At 37.5% G+C, this 23,412-nt stretch overlaps 1 protein-coding gene and 1 long non-coding RNA gene across 11 annotated transcripts in view, besides 4 other annotated features; one reads left to right on the plus strand and one right to left on the minus strand.

Moving 5' to 3' along the window:
• The window catches only part of CLCA4-AS1 (CLCA4 antisense RNA 1), a 133,313-nt gene extending 124,139 nt beyond the window's left edge, over nt 1-9,174 (minus strand). The window contains exons 1-3 of one of the 2 annotated variants that reach the window (NR_135837.1): nt 8,288-9,174; nt 2,380-2,443; nt 1,702-1,914 (exon numbers count right to left, since the gene is read on the minus strand). This is a non-coding gene — a long non-coding RNA (CLCA4 antisense RNA 1). Of the gene's footprint in view, nt 1-1,701; nt 1,915-2,379; nt 2,444-8,178 lie in introns of those variants that run through there. The other variant, NR_135838.1, reaches the window with a different exon arrangement.
• Nucleotides 8,461-8,530: an enhancer, noted in NCBI's record as "active region_1279". NCBI's record gives its function as "activates an Ori minimal core promoter by ATAC-STARR-seq in GM12878 lymphoblastoid cells {active_cell/tissue: GM12878}" and the evidence as "EXISTENCE:reporter gene assay evidence [ECO:0000049][PMID:35858748]".
• Nucleotides 9,095-9,596: an enhancer, noted in NCBI's record as "H3K27ac hESC enhancer chr1:87170097-87170598 (GRCh37/hg19 assembly coordinates)". NCBI's record gives its function as "activates a minimal SCP1, AML or CMV promoter by ChIP-STARR-seq in primed H9 embryonic stem cells {active_cell/tissue: H9 hESC(primed)}" and the evidence as "EXISTENCE:reporter gene assay evidence [ECO:0000049][PMID:30033119]".
• Nucleotides 9,095-9,910: a biological region, named in NCBI's record as "H3K27ac hESC enhancer GRCh37_chr1:87170097-87170598".
• Nucleotides 9,257-23,412, plus strand: part of SH3GLB1 (SH3 domain containing GRB2 like, endophilin B1) — a 43,609-nt gene continuing 29,453 nt past the window's right edge. For 7 of the 9 annotated variants that reach the window (XM_006710672.3, NM_001206651.2, NM_001206652.2 and 4 more), the window contains exons 1-2: nt 9,257-9,652; nt 20,405-20,546. In XM_006710672.3, the coding sequence (XP_006710735.1) occupies nt 9,581-9,652; nt 20,405-20,546 (214 nt within the window). In that variant the 5' untranslated portion in view covers nt 9,257-9,580. The remainder of the gene's footprint in view (nt 9,653-20,404; nt 20,547-23,412) is intronic. The other 2 variants (XM_006710673.3, NM_001206653.2) reach the window with 1 other exon arrangement.
• Nucleotides 9,421-9,910: a silencer, noted in NCBI's record as "silent region_1042". NCBI's record gives its function as "represses an Ori minimal core promoter by ATAC-STARR-seq in GM12878 lymphoblastoid cells {active_cell/tissue: GM12878}" and the evidence as "EXISTENCE:reporter gene assay evidence [ECO:0000049][PMID:35858748]".

A 23,412-nucleotide genomic window follows, 5' to 3' on the forward strand; every position in this document is an offset into this window, starting at 1 on the left:
CTTTCCATATTATCTCACGTATGCACATCGTTTAACAAAAAAAAGATTATATCTTATATTGCTGTCCTTCATGGAACTTAGCATAGGGGTTGCTCATAATAGGTGTTTGTTAGATGATCATATTGGTAAGTAACTGGCAAGTGGATCCTTTTAAGTTTTTCCTTGGTAACTTAAGAGCTTAAACTTATACCACATAATTTGGTGGCGTTGTCTCCTTACTCCCATACCTCAAAGCGTCAGTAAATACACTGATATTTACCTTTCAGGACAAGAAGCTAATTGCTAGTATGAGTCATATTAACTTAAATTCCAACAATGTGAGCCAAACTGTTATTTTACTTTTCCTTTTAGTCTTCATCTCAAGTCACAAGGTAATATCAGTAACTAAAGTATAAAATAAAATTATAGTTAAGCTTTATTTTAAAGTGGAATGAGCATTCAGTCCTCAAAGTAAAAACATGGGCATAATGGGAAAGAAGCTCTTTGAAAGAGAATAGCATTGCCAGTAGTCTAGCACTTTTATTCAAGATTGAAGAATGCAGTGAACTACATGATTCCAGGATCTTAAGTGTAATAGGAAAGAAATTATGTCATTTTGAGGTGAGGAGAAGTTTTGGTTTGTTGGCTAACATCTATGGCAAGGCATGCAGATTATGTCAAAAGCTAGGGTGTTTTGTTTTGCTTTGTTTCTCATCCGAAATAGAAAGCAGATTTGCCCATTATATCAATCATTAAACCAGAAATACTACCTAAAATTAGATTCCTTACACATATTGGAGAAGAGACTGTTTTTTCTCCTTTTCTCTGCCTTTTATACAACGTATACATTCCTGTTGTAAAACACAAAGGCAGATTTTCAGTATATGGGATTAAATATGAACTTTCCTCTTTACCTTCCCAGTCCTTTTCCTCTCCCCAATCTTTCTCTGTATGTATAATTCTGTATCAGTGTGAATGTGTGGATATATATTTATATTATTTCATAATAAAATGGAATCACACTGTAGGTATATTGTATGACTTTCTTTTTTCTCTTAACAATATAATTTAGAATTTTTTCCATTTCAGTACATATTTGTCTCCATAATTCTTTTAACTTTTCTATAGTATTTCACATTGCGAATGCACCATACTTCATAAAACCATTTTCTTACTGATTAACATTTCCAACTCTTTGGTATTAAAAACAGTGTTGCACAAAAGCTTGTATACTTATCTTTGTACAAATATGCTTTGGATAGATTGCTATAAGTAGAATTGCTGGGTCAAATTTAAATTTTACTTAATATGCCAAATTACCCTTCAAAATATCTTTATCAATGTGCACTTCCTCATATTGTGTTTGAGAATGCTTGTTTTCCTACATACTCCAATAACACTGGACATTACTGGTGACTCACTGCTTAACTCAAAGTAAAAATAATAAAAGCAATGTAAGTTGGTAGAGAGACAAATGCAAGACGAAAGAAAAAAATAAGTTCTAATTACCTCATCTTTAACATGGTAAGTTAATAGATGATGTCTAAGATTAAAACAGGTGATTTAGAAAAAAGAAGAAGGAAGAAGAAAACCTCACATAAAATGACTCCAAGAGGGGTCTTGTAGGATCTAATACCTCTGTGGGAAAGAAATAACATGAGGTTTATTCATTTTTTACTTGTTTTTTATTTCTGCTAAATTTAAATTAATTTAATTTAATACCTTTTATAACTTACTCTTTTTCTTCTTCCTCTGTGTATGTCTCTCACTCAATTTTCATTGTATTTCCACACATAAAGAGATATCACTGGCTATTTCTGGATAGTGGTACTTGGATTGCTGGCTGCTTTCTTCTTTGTCCCTTTCTATGCTGTTTGAATATTTTAATGAGTATCCATTATGTTTATTAAATCAACAAAGGTTTTACTATGAAATCTAAAAATAAAAACATGAAAGAAATGTTATACATGTGTGTATATCTACATATACATACACATGTTGTAAATCCAAGAAGTACAGAAAGATACAAAATAAAATGTGAAAGCTTCCTACCCTTCCCGCTCCTTACCCCATACCTTCTCCCCAAAGGTAACTGCTATATGTAGTTTCTTAAAATTATTTTTATTTTACAAGTTATGCATATACAAAGTACTTACATATATATATAACACATATTCCTTTTTATTTACACTCAATTACCCATACACTGTTCCATACACTTTTTTTATTAATATGGTATCTTGGAAATCTTTATACATCAGCACTTACAGACACATGTCTGCTGCTGTTCCTTGAGGCCCCATTCATATATAGTGTTTTCAATACATCTATGAGTAGTGAATTCCAGAAGACCAATGAGAGTACAAAGTAAATGGTTTTTTAAAGCTGCCAACCACTTACGCTGAACAGATGACAGAAGGAAAAGGCAACCCATAGTTTCTCCTCCTTTCAGTCCTTCCTTACTCTTCATCAGCAGGCCAAAAGTAGAGTATTGGTGGAATATGCACATATCAAGAAATAAAATTTTTAAAAATTGATTTAGTTTCATGCCGCATTTCCACTGTTTTAGTAAGAACAAAATACATATGCATGCGTGTACTGTGAAATACAAATTGTACAATTTCAATGATTCTACATACATCTTAAATGCTGTTATATTTGTTTTTTATCTATAATTTTTTTGTTTCAATAGGTTTTTGGGTAACAGGTGGGGTTTGGTTACACGAATAAGTTCCATAATGGTGATTTCTGAGATTTTGGTGCACCCGTTACCCGAGCAATGTACACTGTACCCAATGTGTAGTCTTTTATGCCCCACCCCCACACCAACCCTTTCCTCCAAGTCCCCAAAGTCCATTGAAACATTTTTAAGCCTTTATGTCCTCATAGATTAGCTCCCACTTATGAGTGAGAACATACGATGCTTGGTTTTCCATTCCTGAGTTACTTCACTCAGAATAATGGTCTCTAATTCCATCCAGGTTGCTATGAATGCCATTATTTCATTCCTTTTTATGGCTGAGTAGTATTCCAGAAAATATATACAACATTCTCTTTATCCACTTGTTGATTGATTGGCATTTGAGCTGGTTACATATTTTTGAAATTGTGAATTGTTCTGCTATAAACATGCATGTGCAAGTATCTTTTTCGTATAATGACTTCTTTTCCTCTGGGTGGATACCCAATAGGGGGATTGCTGGATCAAATGGTAGACCTACTTTTAGTTCTTTAAGGAATCTCCACACTGTTTTCCACAGTGGTTGTACTAGTTTGCATTCCCACCAGCAGTGTGAAAGTGTTCTCTTTTCACCACATCCATGCCAACATCTTTTTTTTTTTTTTAATTAAAGGCCATTCTTGCAGGAGTAAGGTGGTATTGCATTGCGGTTTTGATTTGCATTTCCCTGATAATTAGTGAGGCTGGGAAATGCTCTTATATTTGTTTTAAAACTGGCATTGTAGGGCCGGGCGCGGTGGCTCATGCCTGTAATCACAGCACTTTGGGAGGCCGAGGCAGGCAGATTACAGAGTTTGAGACCACCCTGGCCAACATGGCAAAAACCCGTCTCCACTAAAAATACAAAAATTAGCTGGGCATGGTAGCAGGCACCTGTAATCCCAGCTACTTGGGAGGCTGAGGCAGGAGAATCACTTGAACTCGGGAGGCAGAGGTTGCAGTGAGCCAAGACTGTGCCACTGCACTCCAGCCTGGGCAACACAGTGAGACTCCATCTCAAAAAATAACATAACATAACATAACATAACATAACATAACATAACATAACATAACATAACATAACATAACACTGTCATTGTACAACATGAAGATGTATGGTAAAAATCATTCTAATAATTTAAATTATAATCTTTTCTTTGCTTAGAATGACATTAAACAGCAAATAAAAAAATGACAAGTCAAAAGAGATCACAAAATAAAGGAAAAAGTTTTATTTTAATACCTTTAAACAGCACTTTCCTTTTGCTCTTGAACAAAGGGCTCCATATTTTCGTTTTGCATTGGTCCCTGCGAATTATGTAAGTGGCCCTGTTTATCAGTCTAAAAACTGAAAGGAAGTTTCAGTGAGCATGGGAGACTTTCAATTCTTGCCTTACAGCAGCATGGCAGACATTGATAGTTGCTTACCCTATAACTATTCTCTTTCTGCCTTGCTAACAGAAACCCCATTTTTGTTCAGGATGACAGTAAGTGCTGTTTAAGAAATAAAGAAAGATTTAAAAATAAAATACTAATTTCTATTATGATTGTATACTTTCAACTGAATTTATATGTATCTATATATAGATATATATAGATATATAGATACATATATATGTATTTTTGATATAGATTTTTTTAAAGATATAAAAAATTGAAATACTTATTTTTCAACAGGGCACATTTCATTTATCAGTCTCTAATGCATTTACGGAGAACTAAACGACCCAGTTCTAGCTAATGAGATGTAAACCAAAGTTTACTACGTGGGGTTTATGAAAAAGCTGTTTTCTTGATTTAAGGAGTAAGAAGTAGACTCAGTTGGCATGTACTTTTGCCTTTACTTTTCATCCTTTTTCTGCCTTAAAAACATATTTAATGCCTAGAATTACAGGAGCCATCTTGAGACATTAGGATGAAAGCTACATGATAAGAATAGAAAAACAAAAACACAGAAGACTGCCTACCTCTGAACTTCTTAGAGGGTGAGAAAATAAATCAGTATTTGGGTAAGTCACTACAGCTAGGTTTCTGTTACTTGAGCTGAACATAAGCAGTCCTTAATCAATACAGACTAGATAACATGAAAACTCTTCTACTACAAATACTTAGAAATGCTGGGTAAAATGCAGCAAAATAAATTAATTAATTAATAATAATGCATACTTGAGCTTACAAAAAAAAAGACAGGGAAATATTCAGGTGGCAAAAATAAAAAAAGAAACTGGACACCAGGGTCTTGAATACAGAATATGACCCTGTCTGGAGAGGAGAAAGGATTGAATGAGGATGGTGCTTGAATGTTTAAATCCATGAGGTGATAAATGGATTTTAAAAATGTGATATATGTATACAATGGAAAACTATTCAGCCTCTAAAAAGAAGGAAATCCTGTCATTTGTGACAACATAGATGAACCTTAAAGACATTATGTTAAGTGAAATAAGCCAGGCCCAGAAAGATGAATATTGCATGATCTCACTTAAATATGGAATCTAAAAAAGTTGAACTCAATAGAAGCAAAGAGTGGAATGGTGGTTAGCAAGGGCTGGGAGAGAGTGAGGGAGCTGGATGACGCTGGTCAAAGGATATACAATTTCAGTTACATAGGAGGAATAAGTTCAAGAGATCTATTGTACAACATAGTGACTATAGTTAACAACATGTTGTATTCTTCAAAATCACTAAGAACAGACTTTAAGTGTTCTCACCATAAAAATAAGTATGTGACGTAATACATATGTTAAGTCACTCAATTTAGCCATTCCAAGATGTATACATATTACAAATCAGGTTGTATACAATACAGTATATACAATTATCATTTGTCAATTTTCATTAATTTTTTTTTTAAGATGGAGTTTCGCTCTTGTTGCCCAAGCTGGAATGCAATGGCGTGATCTCAGCTCACTGCAACCTCCTCGGTTTAAGTGATTCTCCTGCCTCAGCCTCCCGAGTACCTGGGATTACAAGCACCCACCACCACACCCGGCTAATTTTTGTATTTTTAGTAGAGACAGGGTTTCACCATGTTGGCCAGGCTGGTCTTGAACTCCTGACCTCAAGTTATCCACCCACCTCAGCCTCCCAAAGTGCTGGGATTATAGGCATGAGCCACCGCGCCTGGCCTTTATAATTTTTAAAAATACACGGTAACTTGTGATAAGACCTTGGGCCCTTGGTGCAAACAGAAATCAGTTAACTGTGAGCACACCCTGTCCCCCAACTTCATGACCTCACACACACACATAAGTTAAAAACCCATGAAATTCTGTACCCTCAATGAAAGGGTAGACTAGATAGAAGCTTTTCTTCTGGCATAGTAAGAAGCTTTTCTGTCAAGGCACAAGCTCTGAAAGAGAAAAAAACAAGGAAGATCTCTCTCCCTTGAGAATTTGAATCATAGTTTGTACTCCCACAAATCTGGGTTCAAATTTATAATATCTGAATGATCTTAGAACTTCTAAGCCAAGAAAGAAATTCATGTAAAAATTGCTCACTAGCCAGTGATAACCTTAGGGGTCTCTGACAGAAGAAACATTTTTTTCTGTATCACTAAAAATGAGCCATAAAAAAAAAAGCTAAAAGGAATCAATGTACAAAGCAAAAGGAATCAATCCACAAACAAAAAGGTCATCAAATACACAAATAGAAGTATTAGACCCCTAAATGCAAAAGGATTTATCTATATGATATCATTTATGCAGTTTAAAAATATAACATAGTAGTACCATTCATAGATACATATAAATTCAGTGAAAGTACAAAAACATAACAGATATTAATCATACCAATTTAAAAATAGTGGCTAACTCTGGGGAAGGAATAGTGTCAAGAAAAGCCTGAATAATTGATCCAGACTGAAGGAGAATTGAGCAACAAGCTAACTGGATGCAGCACATGATCTTTCTTGGCTGGGACGTTTTTGCTGTAAAGACATTGGAATAATTGGCAAAGTTTGAGTGGGGTTTCTAGGCAAAGGGTACACAGAAGTTTTTGTACTATTCTTGCAACAGTTTTCTTAGTTTGTAAATTGTTTCAAGTTAAAAAATTTGTTTTTAAAAAGAGGATGAAAATGAAAAATAGGAAACAGTTTCAGAGAAGAAATTGCCAGGATAGACCAATTGGTGGTGGGAAATAAGAGGAAATAATCAAAGGGGACTCAGATTTCTGGCTTAGGTGATTTGGTGTGTATGATTCAATTTATCAATGTAGGAAACCCAAGAAAAGAAGAATTTTCAGGAAAAGCAAACTATAACAGACTTGCCACTGGAAATATTGAATCTATGGATAAATAGTTGGAAATTTAGGCTGGGGGTGATGGTGTCACAAAAGAGCTTAGCACTGTAAACATCTTGATTTGATTACTTTTTTCACTTACTAAATCATTTGGGAATTCACTATGTTGCCTGTGTAAACCATAAAATATATAAAAATAAATAGGAAACGGACACTGCCCTTAAGGGACTGATATCTGGTAAGAGAAGTAGAATCAGTCTGTAGGCAAAGGGTAGAGACTGATGGAGCAAGTTCTAGAGGGTGACAAATTAGTTCTCAACCTTGGTCACACATTAAGAACACCTAGAGGAACTCCTAAAACATCCCAATGCCCAGTCCACACTCTGGGACTGGATCCAGGCATCAGTGGTTGCTTAAACTCTCCAGGTGATGCTGATGTGCAGCCAAGATTAAGGGAGCAGTGGCTCTACTCAGAACACCTGAGACACCTATTCCTTTGAAACATTTGGCAATGATGCAGGAAAGAGTGTGGAGAGAACAGGAGGTGGAAATAAGGAAATTTGGTTGAAGAGGCTTCTGCCAAACAGAGTGATGATTTATATTTTCTCTGTAAAGAAAGCGAATCAGCTGGGTGCGGTGGCTCACACCTGTCATCCCAGCACTTTGGGAGGCTGTGGCAGGCGGATCACTTGAGGCCAGGAGTTCGAGACCAGCCTGGCCCACATGGTGAAACTCTGTCTCTACTAAAGATATAAAAAATTAGCCGGGCGTGGTGATGCATGCTTGTAATCCCAGCTACTTGGAAGGCTGAGGCAGGAGAATCCTTGAACCCAGGAGGCAGAGGTTGCAGTGAGCTGAGATCACACCATTGCACTCCAGCCTGGGTGACACAGCAAAACTCTGTCTCAAAAAAAAAAGTGTCAAAGGCTAAGAATAAGGATATATGAAAATAAGGTAAGTCTTTTATGGAGAATGGGGAAACAGGATTACAGCTACAGAGGGTGCAAAAGAAAGAAGTAACATTGTTGTTTTCCCAAGACTGGGAAGATTGAAACACTTGAGGATGAGGATTCAGGGACACCACTGTGTCCACCATTAAAGAATTTCCCCTTTAATGGTGGACACGGTGGTGTGATCCTTTTGTAGAGACGAGCATAGGTTATGGCAAATATACCTACTTTAAAAACAGTGCTCTGGGAAGAGAGTAAGTGCTTTTCCACATAAAGATCTAAAATAGACAATAAATGAGAAATAGGGTTTTTTATTATATATTCATTTTTCCATATTTCTGGAAAATGAAACAGACATGGAGTATTTCAAAGCTGGGAGAGATCATTATATTGGAGTTACCTTAGAAAGAGGGGGCTGTTTCTGCCACCACAACAAAGAATGAAACAACACAAATATTTACGTTTTCTTCTTGTCCTCATAATGCTTTTACTGCACTCGTCTTTCAACCTTTAACATCTACTGCATCTGTGACTGTTGTTTCAGTAAAACACGGAAGCTTGAATGTAAGCTCATTTCATTGCCTGCTGCACAACCACACAAAACAGCATTTTCTTATTCTTGAAATATGATAGCAACGTCTCCTTCCATGCTTGTACCTGTTTTAATTCCTTTCAAGCAGAGGCTGTATCGTGAAAGATGCTTAAGAAGTTACTTGGAACGACAGGATTTGGAACGGATGTCACATCATATTCTCATTTGTTATTAAAATTAGTCACGCTTAATTGTTAAGGACTATCCTGTGTCGCTCGCCATCTTTGTGTCCTCCACCTGGCACTTTGCTTTCACACAGTAGGCACATAGCGTTGAGGTCCCGGAAGGTTGTCAAGTAACCGGCCAGGAGCTTGAGGGCAGGACATTGTCTCCGACACTTGATTCAGTGCCTGGCACACAGGAGGTATTCAATTATGCTGAATGAATGAGCAACCGGCTCGGTGGGGGACAGTAAACCCAACCCTATTCCGCGAACGTTTGCTGAGCGGCATCCAGGCCTCAGGGACCAAGTGTGTCGCGCGGTGCCATACCGTGACCGGGACCTGTTATTTCTAATGTCCAGATATTGTAATTCTATGCTGTAACTCCTATATTTCCTCTTAAAACAAAAAGAGAAATGTGGGTCGTGTTCGCTCTGGGTTCTCGTTAAGTGCAAGCATACAGAGGCGCCGAGACCCCGCGGCTCGCCCTCGCCGCTTCCTCCACAGGAGCCGGGCGGAGCTCCCGGCGCGCCCCGGGGCTGCGCCGCCGCAATCCTCAAGGGGTCGCTGTTCCCGCGATAACCTCGAGAAAGGCTCCGCCCCGCGGCCCGCGCTTGTTTTTCCCTTGGGACCCGGGTCCACACGGCGGGGTCGCCCGTCCATCTCCGGCTCGCCCGCGGGGCCCATCGTCGACGTTAGCGGCCGTTCTCCGAGCCGACTGACCCATCCTTGGCGCTGCCGCCGCGCGCTTGTTCTCCTCCCTCGCCCCGCCTTCATCCTCCCCGTTCACGGAAACGACAGCTGCGGCTGCGGGGCTGGCGCCGCCTCCCTCCACCTACCACGTCTGCCCTCGCCGCTCTAGCCCTGCGCCCCAGCCCGGCCGCGGCACCTCCGCCTCGCCGCCGCTAGGTCGGCCGGCTCCGCCCGGCTGCCGCCTAGGATGAATATCATGGACTTCAACGTGAAGAAGCTGGCGGCCGACGCAGGCACCTTCCTCAGTCGCGCCGTGCAGGTACCCTGGTGCTGGGGGGAAAAGGGGTGGCGGCGCCCGGGAAGGTTGAGGGAGGGGACCGCAGCTCGACGCGGCGCCCCCGGGCCTCGCCGACCACCCAGCGGGCCTGCTGCAGCCAGAGGCCTGGGAGATGGGCGCGGCCTGGTCCCCTCCCCGGGCCCGGCGGCGGATTTCTGCCCCGCTCCTGCCCAACCGCCGCTCCCTGGGAAGCGAGGCGGGGTGGGGACGGGGCCGGGAGCTTCCTCCCACCCCTGGGGAACACTAAGGCTGCACTGTCCGCCTTTCTGATACCACGACGTCAGTGCTCCTGTGGCCTCCACCCCGGGGCTGGCGGAGGCTTGCGAGTCCTTTGCGGTAACCGAGACACAGGCCATTCTTGCACTACCCCCCACCCTTTCCTTTCGTCTCTCACCCTCCCCTCGGAGTCCAAGAAGGGAGTTTCCTTTTCCTGTCCTTCAACCCAGAGAGCTGCCAACACAGTTCCCTCCGGCCCTCTTTCTCCCTGAAAGGACTGTCCTGGGCTTGGCAGCCCGCGGGGGAAATGGAGATCGCCAGTTGGCGTTGAGACTTTGCCAAGACCACAAGAAACCTAGGGTTGGGGGGTTTTCACTCTTTTTCAAAATGGGAAGCACCAGCTGTAGATCAAGGAGAGATGCGGGGATATTGTTATGGCTGTAGTCACAGTAGTATGTTTTAAATATACTTTAAGGGGAAAAGTTGACTACCTCTCGATATTCTACAATCAAGGAAGTGTCAGTACTAAGGAACTTGGGCCGTTTCCCACAGTCATCACCCATGTTATGCCAACTCAGTAAATCTGTGAACAGATGTAAATTTCACAACATGAATTATAAACAATCTGGTGTTTACGGTCACGGTAGCAACAACATTCTCTTTTGTAAAAAGAAAACAAAAATAATTTTCTAATATGCATACCAAATTGGTGCTGAAATGTAAATCTGTTCTGTGGCTTTACTACTTTCCTTGCCTTTGCCCCAATTTTGTTGGCACAGTTGATCCTACATTGCACTATCCCTGGCAAAAGAGTAGTAGAGCTAGAGCAAGGTAATAGCTGCCTATATTATGAAAAACCTGTCAAGCACTTTGTAATGCATTTGACATATTATCTCCAGTCTTTTCCATAACTTTGCCAGATAGATGTTATTAACCCCTTTTATATATGTGAGGAAGCAGCCTTACTGAGGTTAAGAAACTTGCACAACTAGTAAATAACCAGGTGCTGTCTGACCTAGTACTCCCAGCTGCTTTTTCTTCCGGGATAAGCATTCCAGATTTAAGATAGCTAGAATAATAGAATGCTGTGGCCTAGAGAGACCTTAAAAATCATCTGGTTCAATCTGAGCATTTCCATATCAACAAGCAAGTAACACTTTAGAGATGGTAAATTCCTTCTAGCTTTTGATTTCTAAGTTCTAAAATCTGCATGGTGAGTAATAAGCTAGCTGCCTTAACCCTTTTCTTCCCTTCCTTCCCTAAAATATGATATATTGTAGACGTTGAGCCTTTATAGTTAAAATAATGTTTTGATTTAAATTCACTAGCTTCTAATAGTTCAAAGACAAGGTGCAAGAAGAATGAGTGATTGAGGGTGTGAAATGAATTTTGATGTGTGAGACACTTGTACACTTTTAACATTGACTGCAATAGAGGACTAGAGCCCTTGGTATTTTTGTTTGTCCTAGTGCTCATTACCTATAATTCTAGATGCTTATGAGGATTTGACACTGTATAATGCTACTCTTTTAAATACAGTTAAATATGTTTCAGACGTATAACTCACACCCCTTAAAGAGGACACATTTACTAGAATTTAGTCTGATTTAAATTGTGGATAGACTCAATTTAAAAAATTAAATCTAGCAAAGCTCTCAAAATGTGTACTTCCCAAAGAATTTTAATTCCTTGTTTCAAATTCTTTAGGAAAAAGTTTTAAATTTTATGCTAATCTGTTAGCCATCAAATAATTTTCTTTTCAGTTTTAAATATTTAAGTGTCTACTGCATGTCTGATGTCTGCTTGTGGCTACTGTGGACACTGGTGATACAGCAGTGAATAAAATCAGCAAAGTGTCTGCCCTCCTGAAGCTTACATTGTAGCGGAAGATAAGCTTGTAAATACATCAGGTGGTGATAAAAATCATGGCCAGAAGAATAGAATAACGCAGAGATGGTGGTTGTTAATATCTTTATTAGTATTTTCTAACATTAGTATCGTGTATAGATAGGATGGTCAGGGCAAGTCTTTCTAATAGGATGAAATTCAAGAGACCTCAAGGAAGTGACAGACCTAGTTTTTTTTGGAATAAAAGTATTTCAGGCAGCAGGAAGAAGTACAAAGACTGAAGTTTCAGGGGCATTAAGGAGACCAATGAAGGAGCTGTGGCCATAATACACGTAAAAGGCGATTGTAACTTAGATTACAGTGGTAGCAGTGAAGGTTCCAAATTATCCAGTATTGGCTGTTGGATTGGCTGTGAGGTATGAGAGAAAGATGAGTTAAGGATGACTCCAAGGTTTTGGCTTGAGCCGTTTATTAAGGGAAAAATTTTAGGAGAAACAGACTTCTTTAATGTGTCTGTAATTGTTAGAGATACATACTGAAATGTTTATGGATAAACTTATATCATATCTGAGATTTGGTTTTTACAGGGTATTTTTTTTTTTTTTTTTTTTTGAGATGGAGTTTGGCTCTTGTTGCCCAGGCTGGAGTGCAATGGCGCGATCTCAGCTCATTGCAACCTTCGCCTCCCCGATTCAAGCCAATCTCCTGCCTCCGTCTTTCAAGTAACTGGAATTACAGGCAGGCTCCACCACGCCCAGCTAATTTTGCATTTTTAGTAGAGATGGGGTTTCACCATGTTGGTCAGGCTGGTCTTGAACTCCTGACCTCAGGATCCACCTGCTTCGGCCTCCCAAAGTGCTGGGATTACAGGTGTGAGCCACCACACCAGTTGAGATTAGCGTTTGAATATTTCAAAAGAAAAAAACAGAAGTCGCTGAAACAACAGCAACGGAATGTTGATAGTTGTGGAAGGTTGGTTATGGGTTCATGAGGTTTCATTATACTGTTATACTTTTGTATGTTTGACATTTTCCATAATACTTTTTTAAAGATAAAATTTGTAAGAAAAAAAGGATGCTTCTAAAATAGAACATGTGAAATTTGGAATGCTGTGTGGTAGTTTTCAACAAAACACTGCTTTCTCATCTCAGTATTTATTTCATCACTGAGTTCCTACATTAAATTGCATTGACATCAGTATAATGCCAAAGTACCAAGTTTCATGCTAAGAATAGCTTAAGAGCTATGCCAATATCTCTTTATAAGCAGTAAGAACAGTAGAGAGAGAAACATTCACGTTTATAAATAATAATTTTCATTCAAATCAAATTGTACCGTAAGGAATATGCCATTCTTTGGTTGGCCAACGCCATACATTGTTTTCCATTTTACTTAAAAATTTCTAAGTTAAAAATTAAACATGTTTCTTGTTTTAAAAAAAGGTCAGCTCAAACTAGTAAAGCACATAGATGCGTCCCATCACCACTCCACTTCCCTCCTTTTAAAATTTGTTTATAAGCCTTGGTACTTTAAAAAGAATGTTAGACTAGAATGTATAAATGAGTAGGAATGTTTATTCTTAACTAGCCCATTTGGGTGCTTGTTTTTAAGTACCTCAAGATGGTAAAATACAAAAGTATCAGGTAATTCACCCTTGCTTAATTGTTATTTTACTAGAGTTTTAAATGCCATTTATTCTTAGAATCCATCTTTTTAGTCCAAACTTCTTAGTTGAGCATTAAATACTCCCTTACAATCTGGTCCTTTCTCTCACTTATATAAACACTGTATTCCAAATTATTTTTTAATTTCCAAAATATCTTCTACTTATTTTAGGCTTTTGTTCATATGGTTAGACTCCTCTTAAGTGTCCTGTCTGCCTATTCTTTCCTTTCCTTAAGATACAACTTTATTCATCTCCAAAATGGAGAGAGTAAAAAAAATTTTAAAATAAAAGTAAAATAAACTTTTTTTAAAGATATAGCTTCAAATCCATCTCAGCTGATAAGGCTTCTTAGACCACAAGAGCTTGCTGTGAAATCGTGAATCATTTTCAATTCCAAATGATGAGGTGGCACTTTTCTTCTAATGAACTGTTATGTTAGATCTCTTGGAACTCTAAAGTTCTGTTACTCTGACTTTCTTTAATAAGTTTGTATGTGCTAAGGCATCAACTCTGTTTCTTATTCCCCTCTTACAACATCTAACATGGTTCATCTTTTATATCATTTTAGCCAGGCAAATTACCATCCATATGTGAAGTTTAATCTTTGAAGGGCAACAATAAGCATGTTAAATAACAGTATCTTTATTAGTATTTTCTAACATTGTTTGCGGACCTTGAAGTTAACTAATACCAGTATAAATTGAGTACCTCCTAGGTGCTTGGCGTTGAAAGATACAAAGCTGAATGAGACCCTGTTCCTGCCCTCAGAGACTTCATAATAATAGTCTCAAACTTGTCATAAATCTTATTTGTACTAAATAGCCATTTTGTGAATAACTTTATTTGATAAATCTTTCAAGTGGATAAAGGAACAAGAGATGTGTTTTTAACTCAGAATTCTTATTGAAGCAAAACCTTGCTCACCATCATTAAAATAAGAGCAAAGACTTTCTAAAAAGAATTTTTCAAATCAAATTACTTAGGGAGGGAGTTCATTTTAATTTTCTAACATTTCCTCTAAACTGATTATTAAAGTCATACTATGAAATTCGTGAACACCAGCTATTTTCTAAGGAATATAGTTCTTAAAATATAGTTTTGAGCTTGGCCTTGATCTCCCATTTATTTCAGCAAGTGTCATGGTGTGTCTAAGGATGTAAAGATGAATATGATGTTGCCGTTCAATAGCTCCTGTCAGACCCTCCCTGGAGTTTCAGTTTGGCCAAACAACTCTCTCAAGCACTTCTGAAATCCTATTTCTTTTACAGAATTCACACCGTGACAACTTCACCATGTTTCTTAAATTCTAATAAATAAAATATGTCACATTCGAAATCCATACATTTTCTTGTTATATAAAAACTCTACATGTTTAGTGTTACTTAAAACTGTTTTCACATCCTTTGGTGCTATTTGCATTACTTTAGTAAAATAGATAGAAGATAGTTTGTTAACCTGATGTTAAAATTTACACTTATGTACTACATGAGTAAGGTAATTAGAAAATCTATAAAACTCTTTTAAATTCATCATATTTCTTGAAAGAATTTTTTTTTTTTTTTTGAGACGGAGTCTCGCCCTGTTGCCCAGGCTGGAGTGCAGTGGCACGATCTTGGCTCACCGCAATCTCCGTTTCCCAGGTTCAAGCTATCCTCCTTCCTCAGCCCCTCTAGTAGCTGGGATTACAGACACGCGCCACCGTGCCCGGCTAAATTTTGTATTTTTAGTAGAGACGGGGTTTCACCATGTTGGCCAGGCTAGTCTCGAACTCCTGATCTCAGGTGATCCACCCGCCTCAGCCTCCCAAAGTGCTGGGATTACAGGCATGAGCCACCGTGCCTGGCCTTTCTTGAAAGTATTTTTAAGGTAATGACAGAGCTACAAATTAATCCTAAACTCTTAACCACACCCAACTGATGTACTCCTAGTTGCTTTGCTACTATATTTAAAATGATCAAACACCTAAGTCAATTACTTTAATATTCTTTGGAGACCAGCTTACTGAAAGAACCTCAACACAGTTAATATATTTGAAGCAAAACTCCAGCACAGTGAAGTAACAGTAATAACAGCTGAAATTCCTAAATGGGCCAAAGAGGAAAGTAAAGTAATGCAGCATGCACTAAACCAAGCGATACATATTTAAATAGTTATGAATGAGTTTAGAACAGTGGTTCTCAGTCTTGGCTGCACTTAAAATGCTTGGGGAATCTTTATAAATGCCAATATATGAGCTACACCCCAGTCCAATTAAATTAGAATCTTAGGGGTTGGATCAGACCAGACATCAGTGTTTTCTAAAGCTCCCTCAAGTAATTCTAAAGAACAGCCAAAATTGGGAACCAATGGAGAAAGATGCACCTTACAGTTTACTAATACATTATTCAGAATCTGTGTTACATATTTTCCAAGAAATTTAAATTACTTTTAGAGTATTACCCTTTAGTAATACTGGTGATTAGAGTTTGCATTAAATAGATGTCTTTGATCACACACCCATTTTATTTGTAGTCTTTTTTTTTTCTAAAAGTAGAGTTTGGAATCCAGGCTCCTTATTTAATAATGTGGGTTATATGCCTATCCTGTAGTAAAAGAAGGATTACAGTGCCTGGTATAATGTAGCCGACTCAAAGACAATTCTTTCCGCAAAGCAATATTTAGAGAAAATATATAAAAGGGGATTAAACTTTTATTCTTATGCCACTTTGCCATATTACAAATGAAATATGAAAAAATTAGGTATCAAATTATATTTTAGAAAACATTGAGTTTAATGACTTACTAAGAAGATGCTTATTTACAGTTTGCCTTTTATTTTAGGTTGTTTACACAAAAGTTCTTAATTATTAAACTATACTGCCATCTATTCATTAAAAGATATGCTTAAAATCAACTAGTTTCTCATTAATACCTATTATCAAGAGATTACAAAATCAGTAATGATTTTTGACTTGAAGATGTTGAAAACTAAAATTTTTATGGGTTAATTTAAAATTTTTTGGTAACTAGGAAAGGGATCTTTTTTTAAAAGAAAGAATTAATAGGTCTTTTGCCCTTCTGAAAAGGTGCCATTATTATAATTTTGTTTGAGTCAAGGCAGTATTCTCCTAGTAGATCATAAAATCCTTGAGGGCAAGAAGTACATCAGATGCTGATCATCTTGCTGTAGAAGCCATAAATATTTTTGATTAGTAATTTAAATATTAATTTAGTTGAGATGACTCCTAGTGTCTGTAGTAGACGCATTATTTACAGTGCTTTAGAGAAAATGTATTAAATATTGTATTTGTTATCTTAATAAAGTGTACTTCTGATTAATTATGGAAAAATCCTTTTGCTTCCACCAATGATAAAATTTGGGAAATATTATGTCTTTTACAATTATATATTTAAGTAATAAGATTTAAATTTATAATTTCAATTTTAAAATATGATAGCATTAGCAATGTCCTTATTGTGTGTCTTCCTCCCTTTTATTCATTCATGATAGGATTTAGTTTACTAATTTTGGTGAATAATTATTGAATATCTTGTAGAAAGCAGAAGTGATCTGGGGGAGAAAGCTGTCCAGAGTGCTGCGAACAGACATAGGAGAAAGGAAGCACAGAATATGATTGGATAATAGTAATAGAAATAGAAAATACTAATTTTGGAAATCAGCAAGTATTTACTGGAAGGGTAGTATAGCATGATAAGACTATGACTCAAACAGATGTGAGATTGAATCCCAACAATGACACCTTGGACAAAGTGTTTAATCACCCTGAGTCTCAATTTATTAATCTCTACAATTATTCTTACTTTATTTTAAGATTCTTTCGAGTATTTGTTGTAGAATGCACAGCTTAGTTAATGGAATTTTTGAACATACACTAAGCCTTGACACAGAAGTATGAGAAAGATGTAAATGGATGTGCTGAAATGTGAAACATAGAAACATTGTCATGTGACCCTACAGTACTGCTATTTTCTAAACAGGTTTTCTGTAATTAGACTGTCTCACTCATGTGTAAGGGTTCCATGTATCTTCTGAACTAAAATAGTTAAAAAAAAAAAACCTACTAATTGTGTGTGTTTGTAGAATCTTTATCAGTTAACATATTTTCTTTCTTCCTCAGACTCATACAAATAAATCACTTGGTGCAAATACCCATCTTTGCTCTGTTATACTTTCATACTCTTTTCAAAAAGAATATATATTTATTGAGATACCTGGGAGGTAGTATCATGAGAGTCACAAAGAAAATGTTAAATAATTAAGCAAACAGGCCTTTTTACCTGAAGATTGAAGTGTTTTATTTTCCAAATAATTAACTTTCTAATTGCTGATTTTCCTGAAATACTGTCGGGAGAAAACTTGCCCTGAACCCCAGTTTGTATCAGATAAATTCAGTGACTATTTTATTTTATATTTATTTATTTTATTATTAACTTATTAATTAGAGATAGGGTCTTGCTGTGTCACCCAGAATGGAGTGCAGTGGAGTGCAGCTGGGACTACAGGTGTGCACCACCATACCTGGCTAATTTTTTGGATTTTTTTGTAGAGACGTGGTTTCGCCATGTTGCCTAGGCTGGTCTAGAACTCCTGAGCTCAAGTGATCTGCCTGCCTCAGCCTCCCAAAGTGCTGACATTACAGGCGGGGGCCCCTGCTCCTGGCCATAAGTACTGATTTTGAATTATTGATCTGTTGATTTTTCTATTAATCTATTCTTGGTTATTAACTATAAGTTAAGGATTTCCACAGAGAAATTAATATTTAATATGTGTGAGGGTGATGCTAATGAGCTTAAAGAAATTGTGCAACTGGAAGATAAATCATCAGGACTATACACTCTTTCCTTAGATCTTAACATAGTTCATATCATTCAGTCACAGGTCGTTTGTTACCTACTCAGAGATGCTGTTTCTCTAACTACCCGCATCTCACACTCCTCAAACTCCTGCTCCCCTTTCTAGGCCCAAGTTGCCCATCCCTCCCCCACTGAAGCCTTCCCTGATTCTCCTGCTCTCCCTCTTCCTCTCCCTGAAGAATGAATTCTTTCTCTGTACTTGGATTTGTATGTCACTCAGAAACAAACCAACCATGTTGGTCCGCTTTACCATCTTCATATCTTTATATCCTTATTATCAGATTATTTATTTATCTATTGTCTGTCTTTGCCATTAAAATGTAAGCTTCCTAAGAACAGAAACCTTATATGTTTTGTTGGCTGCTGAAACCCATGTGTTTAGAAGAGTGCCTAGCACATATGTAGGTGCTTAATAAGTATTTGTTGAAGGAATAAACAAAATGAACAAACAAATGGATAAACTTGCTTATTAAAGGGAAATTTATGCATGCAGTTTCAATTTTTAAGGGGCTAAGTGAATTTTTTTTAGATCACTCTTTATAGGTGATGTTCACCTGAGTGAAAGGTATTCCCTTTCTTCCCTTCCTATTGGTCACTTTATCTGGGAGTTATTTTATCTAGCCATTGGTGGTAGACTTTGAACATGTAAAAGTCTAGTAGGAGGTCTGTTGCTTAGAATCTTCAGGGATCTGTAAAGACTACGGGGTTCTCTGTTAAGAATGAGGTTGCATAGTTTATCCAGCTGGCCTTGGGATCAGGGTTTGCTTTTGCTCAGTGCCCAGTCCTCCAGCTACACTGCAAGTTTATGGGCTTAGGCAATAGCTTTGTAACTGCTATTTTTGGTTCTACCCACTAGGTCAGGGGCTGGCTATAGACCATTCTCAAAAAGACCCAAGGCTTTACAAAAGCTATTTAAGCTGTTATTTCTAGCCCCTAAACAGGAGCCTCAGTGGAGATTGTAACCAGAAGTCTAAGAATAGAATTCTAGAGGATCCTTCAGCTTAAGGTGTTGATAATAACCTGAAAGTATTAAACCAAGAAGAAGGATGCTGAAAGAAACAATAAAACTCAGAAAATAGAGTAGCAAACGAGATTTTTGAGAAACGAAAGGAGAGAAAGGCAAGGTGAACACTGTTTTGTCAGCCAGAAGTGAGTCATTACTGAGCACAGAATTAATGCTAGTGATATACCTGTGTTAAGATGGGAGGAAGCCACATATTCTAGAGGAAAATGATGCATGATAAACAGCTTGAGTCATCACCTCTAATGTTTAATTAAAAGTATCCAGAAGGCTGTAGATCTACACAGAATCTTTTTACTGCTTTATTATTATATAGGCAGTGCTACCTTTTCTCAAATACCAGTATATTCAATAATAAAAATTGATTCATTGAGTACGTTTAACCACATTTTATGACCTTTAAAAGATGTCTTCATAGTATGAATAGGATATGTTCCAAAAGTTAGTCTATAAATAAATTGCTGGAACATATCCTCAGCAGCTTAAATGACAGGTTTTATGGTATGTTCTGGGAAACTATTTATCTAACTAGGTGTGATTAAAGTGCTAATAAGACATAAACCACAATAAACATTAACAGCTCTTTCAAAACTTAATAATTACAAGGCACCAAACAAAGTGATTTGCATACACAATCATACTTAATCCCCCAAACACTATAAAATATGTATTGTCTCTCTTTTATAATAGAGGGTACTAAAGAAAAAATATTCAATACATTGCTCAGCTCACACAGCAAGGAACAAAGTTAAGATTTGAATTCAGATTCAACTGACTCAAAGCTCTTACTCTTTACCGTTATCCTAGTCTACCTAGGATAGGTAGTTGAAATAGTTGCATGCTTTATATACCAAGAAGTATACTTAGGTTTTCTGTAGAATTCACACCATACATTTTAGCAGAACTAAGGGTATGTGATGACTGTAAGGTAGGGTCATCCACAAAAGAAGTATGGATAAATTACCATAGGAGCAAAAAAAAGTATTCATAAGCAATGGCTTACAAAGCTGGAGCATGGTTATTTGTATGTTTAGGATTGTTTAGCTTTGAATTTGCTTTTTACTTATTGATATGGTTCCCTAAAATTTATTTGCAGTATATTTAATTTTTGTTTTACAATCAATAACAGTTCACAGAAGAAAAGCTTGGCCAGGCTGAGAAGACAGAATTGGATGCTCACTTAGAGAACCTCCTTAGCAAAGCTGAATGTACCAAAATATGGACAGAAAAAATAATGAAACAAACTGAAGTGTTATTGCAGCCAAATCCAAGTAAGAAACTCTACCTCTTGTGTACCTTAAGTACTATTAGTGGGTTTTTAAATGTTAAAAAAAAAAGTTTTAATGGCCATCTGAAAACATAGGATTTTTTTATTGTAGCTTCAAGGTCAGTGGGTTTTTTTGTGTGTGCTTTTGTGAAGAGGAAGTGATAAACAGCTATGTACCTAACCAATTTTAAAATGATATTTTTCAGTCTTTTATAGAATCCTTGTAAAAAATCTCAATTTTAGGCAGTGACTTTGAATTTTAATTTATGAGCAGCTGTGTATATAAATATGTTTTCCTTTTTCATCTAGGGAAGAATTGTCCCTAGATAATTAAGACAAAGTTATATAGTTGCTTAAGTAGGTACCATTTTTTATGTTTAAGTTTTTGGTGTGTTTTTTTGTTTGTTTGTTTGTTTGTTTGTTTGTTTTTTGAGACAGAGTCTCGCCCTGTCGCCCATGCTGGAGTGCAATGGTGTGATCTTGGCTCACTGCAACCTCCACCTCCCAGGTTGAAGCAATTCTTCTGCCTCAGCCTCCCAAGTAGCTGGGATTACAGGCATGTGCCACCACGCCCAGCTAATTTTTTTTTGTGTGTGTGTCTTTAGTAGAGATAGGGTTTCACCATGTTGTCCAGCCTAGTCTCGAACTCCTGACCTCGTGATCCACCTGCCTCGGCCTCCCAAAGTACTGGGATGACAGCCATAAGCCACTGCGCCCCGCCTATGTTTAAGTTTTACATTTTCACATAAATTATTTCATTTCATCTTCAGACAACTATGAGATTTTCAGATAAGTCAACTCAATAATCTTGCAGTTAAGGTGCATAATTGTTTAGTGAATGAAACTCATGAGTTAGCATCTTGTCAAATGTAGCATAGCTAATTAGAAGTGGAAATTGGACTAGAACCGGGTGTATGAACATCCAGTCTTTTCACTGTGAGCTTTGCATATCAAAACTGAAGAACAAAGGTACAATGTATGCTTTCCTTCTTTTTTCCCCAACTTGTTTGGGACCAAGTTGTGATATGACATATGCTTACTTTTAGATACTAACTTAAACTTCAAGCACTATATAAATATTAGCAGTTCTCTATCATTTTAGTTAAATAGTAGTGACTTTTTAAATACACCTTTTGGTTGAAAAACTTAACTGTTGAGTTCTGTGCTCAGTACCTGGGTAACAGGTTCATGTGTACCCCAAACTTCAGCATCATTCAGTATACCCAGGTAGCAAATCTGCATGTGTACTCCTTGAACTAAAATAAAAGTTGGAAATAAAATAAGCTTTTTGCACTTTGAGTGAGTCCTAATGTCTTTGGACACCATGTAATATTTTTTATTCATTTAAGGCCATTTAAATTCTACACTCTGGCACTTTTATTAAAAGTAATAGACATTTTTCCCCTTGTTCTAAACATATTTTTCTGAATGGGAAATAAGCTCATTCACAACTGGTAAACAGGGAAATAAAATACAATTTCCTCCTGCCCCTGTTTTGTGCCAGGAAGTCGTAATAATTGTTTTTGTTTTTTGTTTGTGCTGTGGTTTTTTTGTTTTGTTTTGTTTTGTTTTGTTTGAGACAGAGTCTTGCTGTGTCACCCAGGCTGGAGTGCAGTGGTGTGATCTTGGTTCACTGCAACCTCCACCTCCTGGGTTCAAGCGATTTTCCTGCCTCTGCCTGCTGAGAGTAGCTGGGATTACAGGTGTCCACCACCATACCCGGCTAATTTTTGTATTTTTAGTAGAGACAGGGTTTCTCCATGTTGGCCAGGCTGGTCTCGAACTCCCGACCTCAGGTAATCTGCCCGCCTCAGCCTCCCAAAGCGCTGGGATTACACGTGTGAGCCACCATGCCCAGCCTGTGCTCTGGTTATTAAGTTACATAGGTTTTGAGCAGCCAAACCTAACACTCCTTTTCTTGTAATTCCTATGTTGTTTTCAATGTATGATCTTCTGGAAATGGGTTTTTCAAAAATACGTTATGCAGAAATACATATTACATTGTAGCAGAGTTGCCTGCATATTTAAGATTTTATTATAACCTATTGAAATTAAACATTTATTAGTATTCCAAATATTTTATTAACTGAACGAAGTCAGCATAAGATTCCATTTTAAACTTTTGGCCAGATAGGTGGAAAAGCAGTCAAAATTAAGAATCAGAGTCAAAACACAAAGCTGTTTTTTTTTTTTTTTGAGACAGAGTCTCACTCTTTCACCTGGGCTGGAGTGCAGTGGCACAATCTCTGCTTACTGCAAGATCTGCCTCCTGGGTTCAAGTGATTGTCCTGCCTCAGCTTCCCGAGTAGTTGGGATTACAGGCATGCGCTACCACACCTAGCTAATTTTTGTATTTTTTTTTTTAGTAGAGACGGGGTTTCACCATGTCAGCCAGGCTGGTCTCAAACTCCTGACATCAAGTGGTCTACCTGCCTTGGCCTCCCAAAGTGCTGGGATTACAGGCATGTACCACCACACCGGGCCAAAATGAAGTTCTGAAATTTAACTAGTATCTTCTAAATGGTTATGTTTTAAAAAGCTCTTTTTGGTTTTAACTATTTAAAGGTATTTAATTTCTGCTTTAAAACTTCTGATTTTGTACTAGAATCTACCACAAAAGCAAGTATCATTGCTATACTCTATTTTATGTATTATAACTAAGCCTTTTACCAACTCCTGAAATGTTTCTGTTACTGGTTCAGCTCATTTTTTAAATTTTCAGTGCACTGTGTGAAACTTCCGCATGCGTAGGAATCTATGTGAGGTACTTAGAGGGAACCTATTTGACTTAGCTTCAATTTATGCTTAATCGTTGTTTCTGGAAACTTAAGCCATTTTTTCACTTGTCCTGAAATACCTCTAGGTTGGAC

Source organism: Homo sapiens, chromosome 1 (genome assembly GCF_000001405.40).
Source record: "Homo sapiens chromosome 1, GRCh38.p14 Primary Assembly".
In the NCBI taxonomy this organism is placed as follows: Eukaryota; Metazoa; Chordata; class Mammalia; order Primates; family Hominidae; genus Homo; species Homo sapiens.